The sequence below is a fragment of the Homo sapiens genome, chromosome 19 (genome assembly GCF_000001405.40).
Source record: "Homo sapiens chromosome 19, GRCh38.p14 Primary Assembly".
NCBI lineage: Eukaryota > Metazoa > Chordata > Mammalia > Primates > Hominidae > Homo > Homo sapiens.
In genome coordinates, this window is record NC_000019.10 from 8,374,376 (window position 1) to 8,389,147 (window position 14,772).

A 14,772-nucleotide genomic window follows, 5' to 3' on the forward strand; every position below is an offset into this window, starting at 1 on the left:
TTCTTTGTTCTTGTTTGTTTTCTTTCTTTTTTTTCTCTTTCTTTAGTTCACAGATCTAGTAAGTTACCCTCAGTTTGTTTTAAAAAGTGAACAAAGTCCATGTAAACATGTTCCCAGGGCCAGGCACGGTGTCTCGTGCCTGTAATCCCAGCCATTTGTGAGGCCGAGACAGGCAGGTCACTTGAGGTCAGCAGTTCGAGACCAGCCGGGCCAACATGGTGGAACCCCCATCTCTACAAAAAAATACAAAAATTAGCCGAGCATGGTGGTGCACGTCTGTAGTCCCAGCTACTCTAGAGGCTGACGCAGAAGAATCACTTGAGCCAAGGAGGCAGAGGCTGCAAATAAGCCGAGATTGCGCCACTGCACTCCAGCCTGGGCAACAGAGCAAGACTCCATCTCAAAACAAAAATAATTTTTTTTTCGTAGAGGCAGGGTCTCATTCTATTGTCCAGGCTGGTCTCAAACACCGAGACTCAAGGGATCCTCCTGCCTTGGCTTCACAAAGTGATGGGATTAAAGGTGTGAGCGCCACTGCACCCACCCCTGAAGGCTCTAATTCTACATCTGTGTTTTGTTAAAAAAAAAAAAAAAAGATGGCGTGGTCGCTCATGCCTGTAATCCCAGCACTTTAGGAGGCCGAGGCAGGTGGATCATCTGACATTACGAGTTCCAGGCCCGCCTGACCAACATGGTGAAACCCCGTCTCTACTAAAAATACAAAAATTAGCCGGGTGTGGTGGCGGGTGCCTGTAATCCCAGCTACTCAGGAGGCTGAGGCAGGAGAATCACTTGAACTCGGGAGGTGGAGGTTGCGGTGAGCAGAGATCATGCCACTGCACTCCAGCCTGGGTGACAGAGCAAGACTTGATTTCAAAAAAAAAAAAAAAAAAAAAAAGAATAGGGCTGGGCGCATTGGCTCACACTTGTAACACTAGCACTTTGGGAGGCCAACGAGCGGATCACCCGAGGTCGGGTGATCCCGCTGTATTGCTCTATATAGTGAGATCCCTATATAGGGTCTCACTCTATTGTCCAGGCTGGTCTGGCCTGGCCAATGTGGTGAAACCTCATTTCTACTAAAAATACAAAAATTAGCTGGGCATAGTGATGCGCACCTATAATCCCAGCTACTCAGGAGGCTGAGGCCGGAGAATTGCTTGAACCCAGGAGGTGGAGGTTGCAGTGAGCCGAGATGGCGCTGAGAGGTGACAGCGTGCTGGCAGTCCTCACAGCCCTCGCTCACTCTCTGCGACTCCTCTGCCTGGGCTCCCACTGTGGCGGCACTTCAGGAGCCCTTCAGCCCACCGCTGCACTGTGGGAGCCCCTTTCTGGGCTGGCCAAGGCCGGAGCTGGCTCCCTCAGCTTGCAGGGAAGTGTGGAGGGAGAGGCGCGAGCCGGAATCGGGGCTGCGCGCGGTGCTTGTGGGCCAGCTGGAGTTCCGGGTGGGCGTGGGCTTGGCGGACCCTGCACTCAGAGCAGCCGTCCGGCCCTGCTGGCCCCGGGCAATGAGGGGCTTAGCACCCGGGCCGGACAGCGGCTGCGGAGGGTGTACTGGGTCCCCCAGCAGTGCCAGCGCACCGGCGCTGCGCTTGATTTCTCACCAGGCCTTAGCTGCCTTCCCGCGGGGCAGGGATCGGGACCTGCAGCCCGCCATGCCTGAGCCTCCCACCCCCTCCATGGGCTCCTGTGCGGCCCGCGCCTCCCTGACGAGCACTGCCCCATGCTCCATGGTGCCCAGTCCCATCCACCACCCAAGGGCTGAGGAGTGCAGGCGCACGGCGTGGGACTGGCAGGCAGCTCCACCTGCAGCCCCGGTGCAGGATCCACTGGGTGAAGCTAGCTGGGCTCCTGAGTCTGGTGGGGACGTGGAGAACCTTTGTCTAGCTCAGGGATTGTAAATACACCAATCATCACCCTATGTCTAGCTCAGGGTTTGTGAATGCACCAATGAACACTCTGTATCTAGCTACTCTGGTGGGGCCTTGGAGAACCTTTATGTCTAGCTCAGGGATTGTAAATACACCAATCGGCACTCTGTATCTAGCTCAAGGTTTGTAAACACACCAATCAGCACCCTGTGTCTAGCTCAGGGTTTGTGAATGCACCAATCGACACTCTGTATCTAGCTACTGTGGTGGGGCCTTGGAGAACCTTTGTGTTGACACTCTGTATCTAGTTAATCTGGTGGGGATGTGGAGAACCTTTGTGTCTAGCTCAGGAATTGTAAACGCACCAATCAGCGCCCTGTCAAAACAGACCAGTGGGCTCTACCAATCAGCAGGATGTGGGTGGGGCCAGATAAGAGAATAAAAGCAGGCTGCCCGAGCCAGCAGTGGCAACCCACTTGGGTCCCCTTCCACACTGTGGAAGCTTTGTTCTTTTGCTCTTTGCAATAAATCTTGTACTGCTCACTCTTTGGGTCCCCACTGCTTTTATGAGCTGTAACACTCACTGCGAAGGTCTGCAGCTTCACTCCTGAGCCAGTGAAACCATGAACCCACCAGAAGGAAGAAACGCTGAACACACCTGAACATCAGAAGAAACAAACTCCAGACGCGCCACCTTAAGAGCTGGAACACTTACCGCAAGGGTCCATGGCTTCATTCTTGAAGTCAGTGAGACCAAGAACCCCCCAATTCCGGATACAGTGCCACTGCACTCCAGCCCAGGCAACAGAGCGAGATTCTGTCTAAAAAATAAATAAATAAATATGAAATAAAATAAAAATTGTAATAATTGGATACCCTACATCTAGGACATGTATTTGAGGAAAACCACATCTGTCCATTTTCTGAACCCCAGCTGCTGTTAATTTTTTTTTTTTTTTTTTCCGAGACAAGAGTCTCACTCTGTCACCCAGGCTGGAGCGCGGTAGTGCGATCTCAGCTTACTGCAACCTCCACCTCCCGGGTTCAAGCGATTCTCCTGCCTCGGCCTCCCGAGTAGCTGAGATTACAGGCGCCTCCCACTGCACCCAGCTAATTTTTGTATTTTTAGTATAGATGGGTTTGGCCAGGCTGGTCTCAAACTCCTGACCTCAAGTGATCTGCCCGCCTCGGCCTCCGAAACTGGTGGGATTACAGGCGCAAGCCACTGTGCCCGGCCTGTTAATTTATTTTTGCCCCAGTATCTCCCTCCAAATATTCCTTATAGATGTCTCTTGGGGAGGTGGTGGGGGTTCTTGCGCTAGAAGAAAAAATATCTGTGATTTCCTTGTCTTGACCCTTCCTGGCAGGTGCTGGGGACACAGCTGTTTCCCTGGGGCTGTGGCTGGGTATAGGTGACAAACTTTTTAGCTTTGTAGAGGTAGGTCCTACAGCTGCCAGGCCAGGGAGGCTAGAGGCTGCCCTCTCCAGGTTCCTTGTTTGCCTGTGTCCTGTACTGAGCAGGCTTAGAGGATCTCCTCTGAGCCCACTGTCACTGGAGCTGGTGGTGAGTCCAGTCTGCAGGAGAGGGGGTTCCTCTAGCCACACCCTCTTCATTTCCAGGCTCTGCCAATGATGGGCTCATCTCTTCAATGTCATCCTTTTTCCTGCAGCCACCTTGACCTCAAAGCATTTCCTGCCCCTCCAACCTGGGGAACGACAGAAAAAAAAAAAAAAAAACCACCACCTGGGCACGGTGGCGCACTCCTACACTCCCCGCACTCTGGGAGGCTGAGGTGGGTAGATCACAAGGTCAGGAGATCAAGACCATACTGGCTGACACGGTGAAACCCCGTCTCTACTAAAAATACAAAAAATTAGCCAGGCATGGTGGCACATGCCCGTAGTCCCAGCTATTCGGGAGGCTAAGGCAGGAGAATCACTTGAACCTGGGAGGCGGAGGTTGCAGTGAGCTGAGATTGCACCACTGCACTCCAGCCTGGGTGACAGAGCAAGACTCTGTCTCAAAAAAGAAAGAAAAAAAGAAAGAAAAGAAAAACACCATGGCAGGAAACTAACAAGGGGCCAGGAAGCTGGGATGTGAACCTGGACCTGTTAAACTCCAGAGCTGCAGCTGTAAATCACATCCCTCTCCTGGACCACAGGAGCTCACTGGCCCCAGTTCCTGCATTTGGAAAATGGGGATGGTTTTGACACCCCACCCCTCCATGCCACCATCCCTTCCTGGCCTCATGGTGTGGGGAGGGGGTGGTAAAGAATTAATAAGGCATTAATATTCATCACAGGCTGGGTCCAGTGCCTCGCGACTGTAATCCCAGCTCTTTGGGAGGCTGAGGCTGGAGGACCTTGGAGTTTGAGACCAGCCTACGCAACACAGCAAGACCTCATCTCTACGATAAATTTTTAAAAAGTCCGGGTGCAGTGGCTCATGCCTATAATCCCAGCACTTTGGGAGGCCAAGGCGGGTGGATCATGAGGTTAGGAGTTCAAGACCAGCCTGGCCAAGATAGTGAAACCCCATCTCTACTAAAAATACAAAAAAATTAGCCAGGTGTGGTGGTGGGCGCCTGTAATCCCAGCTACTTGAGAGGCTAAGGCAGAGAATTGCTTGGACTCGGGAGGCAGAGGGTGCAGTGAGCCGAGATCATGCCACTGCACTCCAGCCTGGGCAACAGAGTGAGACCCTGCCTCAAAAAAAAAAAAAAAGAATCAAGAGAAATTTCAGAGGGAGGAGAGACAGAATAAGGCAACTGAGGATGATAGAGGGAGGGAGGCAGAGAGGAGAAGATGAGACAGAAGTCCATGTCCTCTGGGTTTGATGGGAGGGAGGGAAGGAAGGATGGAGACACAAGAGGGGGAGTGGATATGGGGAAGGAGTCAAATTTGTTTATGGGATTGAGAGGTGAAGCCGGCTAGGCTTCTGGGTCGGGTGGGGACTTGAACTTTTCTGTCTAGCTAAAGGATTGTAAACGTACCAATCAGCACTCTGTGTCTAGCTAAAGGATTGTAAATGCACCAATCAGCACTCTGTGTCTAGCTAAAGGTTTGTAAATGCACCAATCAGCGCTCTGTGTCTAGCTAATCAGGTAGGGGACTTGGAGAATTTTCTGTCTAGCTAAAGGATTGTAAATGCACCAATCAGCACTTTGTGTCTAGCTAAAGTTTTGTAAATGCACCAATCAGCACTCTGTCAAAATGGACAAATCAGCACTCTAAAACGGAACAATCAGCACTCTGTAAAATGGACCAATCAGCTCTCTGTAAAATAGACCAATCAGCAGGATGTGGGTGGGGCCAAATAAGGGAATAAAAGGCCACCCGAGCCAGCAGCAGCAACCCACTCAGGTTCCCTTCCACGCTGTAGAAGCTCTGTTCTTTCACTCTTCGCAATAAATCTTGCTGCTGCTCACTCTTTGGGTCCGCACCACCTTTATGAGCTGTAACACTCACCGCAAAGATCTGCAGCTTCACTCCTGAAGTCAGCGAGACCACGAACCTACCAGAAGGAATAAACTCCAGACACATCCAAACATCAGAAGGAACAAACTCCAGACACACCATCTTTAAGAACTGTAACACTCACCGTGAGGGTCCACAGCTTCATTCTTGAAGTCAGTGAGACCAAGAACCCACCAATACTGGACACATTTTGGCGACCACGAAGGGACTATCGCCTATCACCAAGCGGTGAGACTATCGCCTATCACCAAGCGGTGAGTACCATCGGACCCCTTTCGCTTGCTATTCGTCCTATTTTTCCTTAGAATTTGGGGGCTAAATACCGGGCACCTGTCGGCCAGTTAAAAGCGACTAGCGCAGGTGCTGGACTAAAGACATGGGTGTGAGGCTTTCTGGGAAGGGGCTCTCTAACAAACCCCGACTTTTTGGAGTTGGGAGCGTTAGTTTGCCTGGAACCAGCTTCCGCTTTTCCTGTACTTCTGGGCTGAGTCGAGGGTTGACAGGAAAGCCATTCAGCTCTGGGGTCTTGACAACAAGTTGGTTGATCCTGTGGCCATGAGCAGAACTCTCAAAGTCATGTCGCCCAAGTGAGACTCGCCCATCTATCCTATCTGTCCTGACCCTTGCCTCCTGGGTCCTAATGCCTGTCAGACAAACTTCCTCTCGCCTCTCTTCTCCGAGGCTAGTCCCACCTCTAAAAACCACTCCCTGTCTCTGGTGCTTTTCTAGTTTCTCCTATAAGAATGACTTCTAGTATAAACTTCAGGACTCTGTTACCTTCTTTAGGCACCTAGGCTCACTAATCAGAAAGACATAATTTTTGCCCAAAGCCCTGTTGTAGGGGGGCTATCTGGAATTTTAGGATCCCTCCTCAGACAAGCAGGACTAATAAAAGCTATTCCTGAAGCTAGGATATGGGGAGCCTCAGAAATTGTATTCTTCCTATTCATATAAGTGAGGACAAAAGGTGTCACTCTTCCAACCCTGGAGATCCCTTCCTTCCCTCATGGTATGGCCCTCCACTTCATTTTTGGGGCATAACATCATTGTAGGAAATTGGTAAGGTCCCAATACTAAAAGGAGAATGCTTAGGACTGTAACAGGTTTTCGAGAATGTGTTGGTAAGGGCCACTAAATCCAATTTTTCTCGGTCATCTTTGTGGTCTAGGAGGACAGGCAAGGGTGCAGGTTTTTTGAGAATGCGTTGGTAAGGGCCACTAAATCCGACCTTCCTCGGTTCTCCTTGTGGTCTGGGAGGAAAGCTACTGTTTCTGCTGCTGCGTTGGTGAGTGCAACTATTCCAATCAGCAGGGTCTAGTGACCATTACGGGTTCTTGGGCAGGGGTTGTTTCTGCTGCTGCATCAGTGAGCGCAACTATTCCGATCAGCAGGGCCCAAGGACCATTGTGGATTCTTGGGCAGGGGGAGAAGAAAAACACACCAAAATCGTGGGTGGTTTTGTCTTTCAGATGGGAAACAGGCATCAACAGGCTCACCCTTGAAATGCATCCTAGGCCATTGGGACCAGTCTGACCTGCAAACCCTGAAAAAGAGGCAGCTCATTTTTTTCTGCACTGTGGCCTGGCCCCAATATTCTCTCTCTGATGGGGAAAAATGGCCATCTGAGGGAAGTACAAATTACAATACTATCCTGCAGCTTGACCTTTTCTGTAAGAGAAAGGCAAATGGAGTGAAATAGTTATGTCCAAGCTTTCCTTTCATTAAAGGAGAATACACATCTATGCAAAGGTTGCAATTTACATCCCACAGGAGAACCTTTCAGCTTACCCCCATATCCTAGCCTCCCTACAGCTCCCCTTCGTATTAGTGACAAGCCTCCTCTAATCTCCCCTGCCCAGAAGGAAATAAGCAAAGAAATCTCCAAAGGACCACAAAACTCCCCTGGGCTGTCGGTTATGTCCCCTTCAAATTGTAGCGGGAGGGGAATTTGGCCTAACATGGGTACATGTCTACTTCTCCCTCTCTGATTTAAAGCAGATCAAGGCACACCTGGGGAAGTTTTCAGATGATCCTGATAGGTACATAGATGTCCTACAGGGTCTAGGGCAAATCTTCAATCTCACTTGGAGAGATGTCATGCTATTGTTAGATCAAACCCTGGCCTTTAATGAAAATAATGCAGCTTTAGCTGCAGCCCAAGACTTTGGAGGTACCTGGTATCTTAGTTAAGTAAATGATAGAATGACAGCTGAAGAAAGGGACAAATTCCCTACTGGTCAGCAAGCCATCCCCAGTATGGATCCCCACTGGGACTTCAATTCAGATCATGGGGACTGGAGTCATAAACATCTGTTGACCTATGTTCTAGAAGGACTAAGGATAATTAGGAAGAAGCCCATGAATTATTCACTGATGTCCACCATAACTCAGGGAAAGGAAGAAAATCCTTCTGCCTTCCTCGAGTGGCTACAGAAGGCCTTAAGAAAATATACTCCCCTGTCACCCAAATCACTCAAGGGTCAATTGATCCTAAAAGATAAGTTTATTATCCAATCAGCCACAGATATCAGGAGAAAGCTCCAAAAGTGAGCCCTGTGCCCTGAACAAAATCTAGAGGCATTATTAAACCTGGCAACCTCACTGTTCTATAACAGGGACCAAGAGGAACAGGCCCAAAAGGAAAAGTGAGATCAGAGAAAGGCCGCAGACTTAGTCATGGCCCTCAGACAAACAAACCTTGGTGGTTCAGAGAGGACAGAAAATGGAGCAGGCCAATCATCCAGTATGGCTTGTTAGCAGTGTGGTTTGCAAGGACACTTTAAAAAAGATTGTCCAATGAGAAACAAGCTGCCCCCTTGTCCATGTCCCCTATGCCAAGGCAATCACTGGAAGGCACACTGCCCCAGAGGACAAAGCTTCTCTGGGACAGAAGCCCCCAACCAGATGATCCAACAACAGGACTGAGGGTGCCTGGGGCAAGTGTCAGCTCATGTCATCACTCTCACTGAGCCCCAGGTAACTTTAACCATTGACAGCCAGGAAATTGACTTCCTCCTGGACACTGGTGCGGCTTTCTCAGTGTTAATTTCCTGTCCTGAACAGCTGTCCTCCAGGTCCGTTACCATCTGAGGAATCCTGGGACAGCCTGTAACCAGGTATTTCTCCCACCTCCTCAGTTGTAATTGGGAGACTTTGCTCTTTTCACATGCCTTTCTTGTTATGCCTGAAAGTCCCACACCCTTATTAGGGAGGGATATATTAGCCAAAGCTGGAGCTATTATCTACATGAATATGGGGAACAAGTTTCCCATTTGTTGTCCCCTACTTGAGGATGAAATCAAGCCTGAAGTCTGGGCATTGGAAGGACAATTTGGAAGGGCAAAAAATGCCCACCCAGTCCAAATCAGGGTAAAAGATCCCACCACATTTCCTTATCAAAGGCAATATTCCTTAAAGCCTGAAGCTTATAAAGGATTACAGGATATTGTTAAACATTTAAAAGCTCAAGGCTTAGTAAGGAAATGCAGCAGTCCCTGCAACACCCCAATTCTAGGAGTACAAAAACCAAATGGTCAATGGAGACTAGTGCAAGATCTTAGACTCATCGATGAGGCAATAATTTTTCTATATCCAGTTGTATCCAACCCCTATACCCTGCTCTCTCAAATACCAGAGGAAGCAGAATGGTTCACTGTTCTGGACCTCAAGGATGCCTTCTTCTGTATTCCCCTGCACTCTGACTCTCAGTTTCTCTTTGCCTTTGAGGATCCCACAGACCACACGTCCCAACTTACGTGGATGGTCTTGCCCCAAGGGTTTAGGGATAGCCCTCATCTGTTTGGTCAGGCACTGGCTCAAGATCTAGGCCACTTCTCAAATCCAGGTGCTCTGGTCCTTCAGTATGTGGATGATTTACTTTTGGCTACTAGTTCAGAAGCCTCATGCCAGCAGGCTACTCTAGATCTCTTGAACTTTCTAGCTAATCAAGGGTACAAGGCATCTAGGTCGAAGGCCCAGCTTTGCCTACAGCAGGTCAAATATCTAGGCCTAATCTTAGCCAGAGGAATCAGGGCCCTCAGCAAGGAACAAATACAGCCTATACTGGCTTATCCTCACCCTAAGACATTTAACAGTTGCAGGGGTTCCTTGAAATCACCAGCTTTTGCTGATTGTGGATCCCCAGATACAGCGAGATAGCCAGGCCCCTCTATACTCTAATCAAGGAGACCCAGAGGGCAAATACTCATCTAGTAGAATGGGAACCAGGGGCAGAAACAGCCTTCAAAACCTTAAAGCAGGCCCTAGTACAAGCTCCAGCTTTAAGCCTTCCCACAGGACAAAACATCACAGAGAGAGCAGGGATAGCTCTTGGAGTCCTTACTCAGACTCATGGGATAACCCCACAACCAGTGGCATACCTAAGTAAGGAAACTGATGTAGTAGCAAATGGCTGGCCTCATTGCTTATGGGTAGTTGCAGCAGTGGCTGTCTTAGTGTCAGAGGCTATCAAAATAATACAAGGAAAGGATCTCACTGTCTGGACTACTCATGATGTAAATGGCAACCTAGGTGCTAAAGAAAGTTTATGGCTATCAGACAATCGCCTACTTAGATACCAGGCACTATTCCTTGAGGGGCTGGTGCTTCAAATATGCACATGTGTGGCCCTCAACCCTGCCACTTTTCTCCCAGAGTATGAGGAACCAATTGAGCATGACTGCCAACAAATTATAGCCCAGAATTATGCTGCCCAAGAGGATCTCTTAGAAGTCCCCTTAGCTAATCTTGACCTTAACCTATATACTGATGGAAGTTCATTTGTGGAGAATGGGATATGAAGGGCAGGTTATGCCATAGTTAGTGATGTAACTGTACTTGAAAGTAAGCCTCTTCCCCCAGGGACCAGCGCCCAGTTAGCAGAACTAGTGGCACTTACCTGAGCCTTAGAACTGGGAAACGGAAAAAGAATAAATGTGTATACATATAGCAAGTATGCTTACCTAATCCTACATGCCCATGCCGCAATATGGAAAGAAAGGGAGTTTCTAACCTCTGGGGGAACCCCCATTAAATACCACAAGGAAACCATGGAGTTATTGCACACAGTGCAAAAACCCAAGGAGGTGGCAGTCTTACACAGCCGAAGCCATCAAAAATGGGAAGAAGAGGGGAGAACAGCAGCATAAGTGGCTAGCAGAGGCAGGGAAAGACCAGCAGAAAGGAAAGAGAGAAAGAGACAGGAAGTCAGAGAAAGAGAGAAGAGAGGAAGAAACAGAGAGACAAAGAGAAGGAGACAGAGAGGAAGAGACAGAGACAAAGAAGAAGTCAAAGAGAAAAGGAGATAGAAGTAGTAAAAAAAAAAAAGTGTACCCTAGCGTAAATTTAAAACCTATAATTGATAATTGAAGGTCTTCTCTGTAACCTTATAACACTCCAATACCACCTTGTTGTCAGTGTAAACAAGGGCATAGCCGGAAAGCACTGAGGCCACTGACAACCTGTAGCCTTCCTATCAAAAATCCTTAACCCAGCAGGTTTCCTAACAGGAGATCTAAATCTTAATTAATTACCATACAAAGGTCTGACCAGATCTAGGAGGAACTCCCTTCAGGACAGGATGATAGATGGTTCCTCCCAGGCGATTAAGGGAAAAAGACACAATGGGTATTCAGTAAGTGATAAGGAAACTCTTGTAGATGCAGAGTTAGGAAAATTGCCTAATAATTGGTCTGCTCAAACATGCCAGTTGTTTCCACTCAGCCAAATCTTAAAGTACTTACAGAATCAGGAAGCAGCCATCTATACCAATTCTAAGTTAATATGGACTGAACAAGGTCTTACTAATAGCAAAGAATAATTGAAATCCCAAACTTACAAGGTTTTCAACAAAAGTAAAGTTTGCTAAAAAAGTTAACAGTGTAACATGTATTATCCTAACTTCTAATCTTATGGAAATCAGACCGTATCTGTGCCCCTCAAAGCTCAAGTCTATCAGCGCAGGGCCATACAACTAATATCCCTACTTATAGGGTTAGGAATGGCTACTGCTACAGGAACCGGAATAGCCAGTTTATCCACTTCATTATTCTACTACCATACACCTTCAAAGGATTTCTCAGACAGTTTGTAAGAAATAACAAAATCTATCCTTACTCTACAATCCCAAATATACTCTTTGGCAGCAGCAACTCTCCAAAACCACTGAGGCCTAGACCTCCTCACTGCTGAGAAAGGAGGACTCTGCACCTTCTTAGGGGAAGAGTGTTGTTTTTACACTAAACAGTCAGGGATAGCACGAGATGCCACCTGGCATTTACAGGAAAAGGCTTCTGAAATCAGACAATGCCTTTCGAACTCTAATACCAACCTCTGGAGTTGGGCAACATGGCTTCTCCCCTAGGTCCTGTGGCAGCCATCTTGCTCTTACTCACCTTTGGGCCCTGCATTTTTAACCTTCTTGTCAAATTTGTTTCTTCTAGAATCGAGGCCATCAAGCTACAGATGGTCTTAAAAATGGAACCCCAAATGAGTTCAACTAACAACTTCTACTGAGGACCCCTGGACCGACCCACTGGCCCTTCCACTGGCCTAAAGAGTTCCCCTCTGGAGGACACTACAATTGCAGGGCCCCTTCTTCCAGCAGGAAGTAGCTAGAGTGGTCATCGGCCAAATTCCCAACAGCAGTTGGGGTGTTCTGTTTAGAGGGGTGATTGAGAGGTGAAGCCGGCTGGGCTTCTTGGTTGAGTAGGGACTTGGAGAACTTTTCTGTCTAGCTAAAGGATTGCAAATGCACCAATCAGCGCTCTGTGTCTAGCTAAAGGTTTGTAAATGCACCAATCAGCGCTCTGTGTCTAACTAATCGCGTAGGGGACTTAGAGAACTTTCCTGTCTAGCTAAAGGATTGTAAATGCACCAATCAGCACTCTGTGTCTAGCTAAAGGTTTGTAAATGCACCAATCAGCACTCTGTCAAAACGGACCAATCAGCACTCTGTAAAACGGACCAATCAGCACTCTGTAAAGTGGACCAATCAGCTCTCTGTAAAATGGACCAATCAGCAGGATGTAGGTGGGGCCAAATAAGGGAATAAAAGCAGGACACCGCAGCCAGCAGCGGCAACGTGCTTGGGTCCCCTTCCATGCTGTGGAAACTTTGTTCTTTCACTCTTCCCAGTAAATCCTGCTGCTGCTCACTCTTTGGGTGCGCACTGCCTTTATGAGCTGTAACACTCACCGCAAAGGTCTGCAGTTTCACTCCTGAAGTCAGCGAGACCAAAAGCCCACCAGAAGCAAGAAACTCTAGACATGTCTGAATATCAGAAGGAACAAACTCTGGACACACCATCTTTCAGAACCGTAACACTCACCGGAGGGTCTGTGGCTTCATTCTTGGAGTCAGCAAGACCAAGAACCCACCAATCTGGACACAGGATGTGTTATACAAAACTTATAGGAGGCTATTACTTTGGACTGACTTCCTACACCAGGCCCAACAAACTAAACCAAAATGGAGTCACTCATGCTAAAGTTTTACGTGATCAAAAAGAAACTAAGTTGTTTATCTGACCTTCTACAAAATCAGGAGAGAGAGAGATGGGATAGCCAAGTCTCCCACCAGGTCAGTTTTAGCCATCATGATAAGGATGTCCTCTCTGCTTTAACCTTTACAAGAAAAGTAACTTTGGGCTGAGTGCGGTGGTGGCTCATGCCTGTAATCCCAGCACTTTGGGAGGCCAAGGCAGGAGGATTGCTTGAGTTCAGGAGTTCAAATCCAGCCTGGCCAACAAGGCAAGACCCTGTCTCTGGAAAAAAAAAATTAGCTGGGCATGGTGGCACACACCTGTGATCCTAGCTCCTCAGGAGGCTGAGGTGGGAAGATTGCTTGATCCCAGGAAGTTGAGGTTGCAGTGAGCTATGATCGCACCACTGCACTCCAGCCTGGGTGACAGAGCAAGACTCAGACTCCAAAAGGAAACTTTAAAATGACCAATCCAAGTTTTCTTTTCTTTTTTTCTTTTTTTTTGAGTCGGAGTTTTGCTCTGCTCTCCCAGGCTGGAGTGCAATGGTGTGATCTTCGCTCACTGCAACCTCCGCCTCCCTGGTTCAAGTGATTCTCCTGCCTCAACCTCCTGAGTAGCTGGGATTACAGGCACCTGCCACCGCGCCCGGCTAATATTTTTGTATTGTTAGTAGAGATAGGGTTTCATCATCATTATCATGTTGGTCAAGCTGGTCTCGAACTCCTGACCTCGGGTGATCTGCCTGCCTCGGCCTCCAAAGTGCTGGGATTACAGGCATGAGCCACTGCACCTGACCTCCACGTTTTATTTTCTGTTTGTGCTTTACTTGGCCCTTTTTCTGCCTGTAAAACCAACCTACCTGCTCAGCTCATGGGAAAATTAGTTTCATTTTGTGAAATGAAGTGTTGCCCGATTGTAGAATTGCAAATAAAATCAATTAAGATCTTTAAACTAAATGTGTTGTAATTTTGTTTTTTTGACAGATGCCCAATGAACACCCTGGGAATGAGATCCAAGAGGCGATAATGGCATCTGCTCTAATAACTAGTACATTGACTCTAGGCTTAGATTATTCACCACTGAATAAATAAACGTATTTATTCAGCAGTGGGGAACTTACAGCAATGATGGGGACAGATACAGTCCCTGATGTCATCAGGCTGATATGCTGCTGACAGAGGACAAAAAACAAACAGATCAATGGGTCAGGAAAGCAAGGCTTTTTTTTTTTTGAGACAGGGTCTTGCTCTGTTACCCAAGCTGGAGTGCAGTGGGGTGATCATGGCTCACTGCAGCCTCGATTTCCCAGGCTCGAATGATCCTCCCGCCTTGGCCTCCCAAGTATCTGGGACCCTGGCATGATGCACCACATCTGGCTAATTTTTGTTGTTGTTCTTTTCTTTTTTTTCCTTTTCTCTTTTTTTTCCTTTTTTTCTTTTTTTTTTTTTTTTTTTGAGAGACTGGGTTTTGACATGTTGCCTAGGCTGGTCTCTAGCTCCTGGCCTCAAGTGATCCTCCCACCTCAGCCTCCTCAAAGGGCATGTTTTTAGGCATAAGCCACCGCAGCCAGCCAAAACAAACAAACAAAAAGTAACGTATACTTTGTGTTAATAATTTTGCATAGTATATTGAAAATTTGCCAAGAAAGTACATTTTAGATACTCTCACTACACACACAGTTAATTATGGAAGGCAATGGATAGGTTAATTGCTTAACTCTCATAATTGGCCATGTGTGGTGAAAATGCCTGTAATCCCAGCACTTTGGGAGGCCAAGGTGGGCGAATCACCTGAGGTCAGGAGTTCGAGATCAGCCTGACCAACATGGAGAAACCCCGTCTCTACTAAAAATACAAAAAAATTAGCCAAGCATGGTGGTGCATGCCTGTAATCCCAGCTATTCGGGAGGCTGAGGCATGAGAATCGCTTGAACCCGGGAGGCAG

The 14,772-nt window shown here is 47.9% G+C and overlaps 2 long non-coding RNA genes across 3 annotated transcripts in view; one reads left to right on the top strand and one right to left on the bottom strand.

The window, feature by feature from the left end:
- The window catches only part of RAB11B-AS1 (RAB11B antisense RNA 1), a 16,316-nt gene continuing 1,544 nt past the window's right edge, over nucleotides 1–14,772 (bottom strand). The window contains exons 2-3 of the long non-coding RNA NR_038237.1: nucleotides 2,587–2,692; nucleotides 1–233 (exon numbers count right to left, since the gene is read on the bottom strand). This is a non-coding gene — a long non-coding RNA (RAB11B antisense RNA 1). The remainder of the gene's footprint in view (nucleotides 234–2,586; nucleotides 2,693–14,772) is intronic.
- On the top strand, nucleotides 5,224–13,784 carry LOC124904632 (uncharacterized). 2 transcript variants are annotated; one of them, XR_007067129.1, is made up of 3 exons: nucleotides 5,549–5,602; nucleotides 6,517–6,633; nucleotides 11,789–13,784. It is a non-coding gene; the product is annotated as an uncharacterized LOC124904632 (long non-coding RNA). The 2 variants fall into 2 exon arrangements; XR_007067128.1 differs by lacking the exon at nucleotides 6,517–6,633 and having other exon boundaries at nucleotides 5,224–5,602.